The 2,937-nt window shown below is 42.3% G+C and overlaps 1 annotated feature.

Moving 5' to 3' along the window:
• Positions 303-804: an enhancer, noted in NCBI's record as "NANOG hESC enhancer chr18:26102096-26102597 (GRCh37/hg19 assembly coordinates)". NCBI's record gives its function as "activates a minimal SCP1, AML or CMV promoter by ChIP-STARR-seq in primed H9 embryonic stem cells {active_cell/tissue: H9 hESC(primed)}" and the evidence as "EXISTENCE:reporter gene assay evidence [ECO:0000049][PMID:30033119]".

Raw genomic sequence — 2,937 nt, 5'->3', positions numbered from 1 at the left:
AAAAAAAATTAAAACAAAAACAGTACCATAAAGATATTTCTTTATACAGATTCATAATGTTATAACACTCAAATGATTATTCTAGAATACATTAAAAAGAAGGTTATTTTCCCTATTATTAAGGGCTCCTTTTTAATAGAGTTATTTATTGTATTTTCCTGAAGAAATTATGTCTGTCTGTCTTCTCTTCTATTCCCAGTTGTTTTGAGTAAAGGGAGCAAGGAAGGAAAAAAAAAGCAGACCTCTGGCTTCTAGTCTTAGTGCAAATCCAGAAATCCTCTTTTTTGCTTTAATGCAAGCTACACACAATGACAAGAAAGCCCCCATTCACTTCACCCCTCATTCATTGTTTCTTCCTCTAGTAGCAGACACTCATCAACCATTCACAGTCTCATTACATGCAAAGTCCAGGCTGACTACTGCTTCTAGCATAAGGAAGAAGAGCACATTTGAAAAAGCTTTCGATGACAAGGCTTTATTTCCTCGCAAAACTTTTTAAAGAGCAATCTGGGCCTCTGATGGTAATGTCTTGCCTAGCAATTAGTGGCAGAGGTGCTGCAGCTTAAAAGGCTTTTAAATTATCTTATGAATGGTCTCCTACAATGGGCTTTCATTACGCGGGGGGAAGTCCAGTACTCCACCCATTTTGGGGGCACAACTTGTAAGCCCTTCTTAAGGAGTCACTCACAAAGATTGACAGCTTGAAATTTGCTAGACACAAAGTTTTCAGTATAGCATGGCTGCAAAATGATACCCAATTTAATATGGAAATTGCCTTTTTTCTTTGAGTGGACTAACGAGCAAACTTCAAAAGTTCCTTAGATTTGATTCATGTTTATCTGAAGTATATCCAAGGGCATCTGTGAGACTTTGAACAGAAAAAAGAAAAAAAAAAAGCAGGATCTTTTTCTTCAGTAATAGGCCCAAAGTGCTGGGAATGCATCCCTGGCAATGAGGCAGCTAGAACAGAGATTTGTCTCAACTTTGAGCTGCCCCAGCACACAAATAAAAGAGGACAGGTTATCTCAGATACCACTAAGAAGAGAAGCAGCTAAAAATGACCAAGTAGTTCTCATGCAAATTCAGTTCTTTTTATGGATTGTCAGAGATTCTCAGTTATACTGGAGAAGGTAACCCAACTGCAACAATATTGATTAAAAATCAGTTCAACCTCAGGAGCTGGAAAGGGCAACAGGGTTGGATCACAGACTTGAATCATGGCTCTTTGCATCTCTTCTTTTCTCCATTGGTGTTTTCTTTTTGCTACAGAGTAGAATAAGTGAACAAATGTTCTGAGTACAACCATGCATCTCTTAATGGCAAGGATACACTCTGAGAAATGCATTGTAAGGTGATTTAATGTTTGTGGAAACTTCATAGAGTATACTTACACAAACCTAGATGGTATTAGCCCACTAACCACCTAGGGTCTATGGTATAGCCTATTGCTCCTAGGCTACAAACCTGTTCCGCATGTTACCTTACCGCACTGAATACTGTAGGCAATTGTAATACAGTGGAAAATATGTGAGTATCTAAACATTTACAAAGTGAGACAGGAGAGTTCTCCCTTGACCCCTTCTCGGGACTTGCCACAGGGGTATGGCTCATTTTCTTATGCTCCTACTCCTTGCGAGAGGGGTAGCATGAAAGTGAGCGGGTGCACGAGCCAGGGCAAGTGCTTTTGGGCGCTGGCAAGAAAGAACCCTGTAACACCCCAGCATCATCTACTGCCCCAGCAGCATCTAGGGGTTGCCCATGACCTCTGGAGCCCCAGAGGGCATGTGTTACAAACAATGCTCTTTTAGCTTTGCTGTCCATGGAAGGCTTAAGTGTTAAACAGCTCAGTGAAGAGTGACTGTGACAGCCTTTTAGGGTTCCCACACCAGTGCATCCCGAATTCTTGTCCAGCGTCTAGGAAGAATCAGGTTACATGAATGCATTGAAGGGTGGTGTATGCAGAGGATTTTACTGAGTGATGGAAGTGGCTCTCAATAGGATGGGGAGCTGGAAAGAGGATGGAGTGGGACAGTGGGACCTCTCCTACTGTCCCTGGCCAAACTCCTGTCTGACCACAGTTTGATGTCCAGCTGACTCTTTTCCTCTCAACATTCAGATGCTTCTTTTATTCTCTCCTTCTCTGCTATGCTGCCCTGCTCTTCTGTCAATGGAGCTTAGGTTTTTTTATGGGTACAAGGTGGGGGGTGTGGAGGGCCAGGGTAATGTTGGAAAAGGCAACATTTAGGTGGGAAAACAGGAATGCATGTCAGGTTTTCTATAGGTACAAGATGGGAGTGTGGAGGGCCAGGGTAATGTTGGAAAAGGCAACATTTAGGTGGGAAAACAGGAATGCATGTCAGGTTTTCTATAGGTACAAGATGGGAGTGTGGAGGGCCAGGGTGGTGTTGGAAAAGGCAACCATTTAGGTGGGAAAATAGAAATGCATGTTCTCATTTAGGGCTGCGGGTCCAGGCTTGAGGGTGGAGCCCTCGCCAGGGACCCCACCCTCTTCTACCCCGTATTTTCTTGCCTCCTGTCTGTATCATTAAAGTACAGTTTATAATCTTATGAGACCGCTGTTGTATTTATGTTTCATCTTAACTGAAACAGCCTTATGCAGTACATGACTGTAACTGGAAGCATTAGATGGCTTTGCCATCTAAATGCAACACCCTTAGTTCTTTTTTGTTAATGACTGGGAACTTGGTTGCAAAAAGAAATACAACACGCCCAGACTGATGCAGACTCCTCAGCTGAGTAATAGTGAGAAGAAATGTTAAAAAACTAAAGGCTCCAGACTGTCGGGACCAAAGTGGTTTTGTTTTGCTTTTCAGGGGAATCAATCACGGAATCCAACGTCTTCATCAGGCAACAGAATCTCACCCAAATGGTCATCATTTTCCTTCAATGAGAAAACCTTCTAAAGTTCTGAGTAAT

The sequence above is a fragment of the Homo sapiens genome, chromosome 18 (assembly GCF_000001405.40).
Source record: "Homo sapiens chromosome 18, GRCh38.p14 Primary Assembly".
Classification (NCBI taxonomy): domain Eukaryota; kingdom Metazoa; phylum Chordata; class Mammalia; order Primates; family Hominidae; genus Homo; species Homo sapiens.
This window is presented reverse-complemented; position numbering and strand designations above follow the sequence as displayed.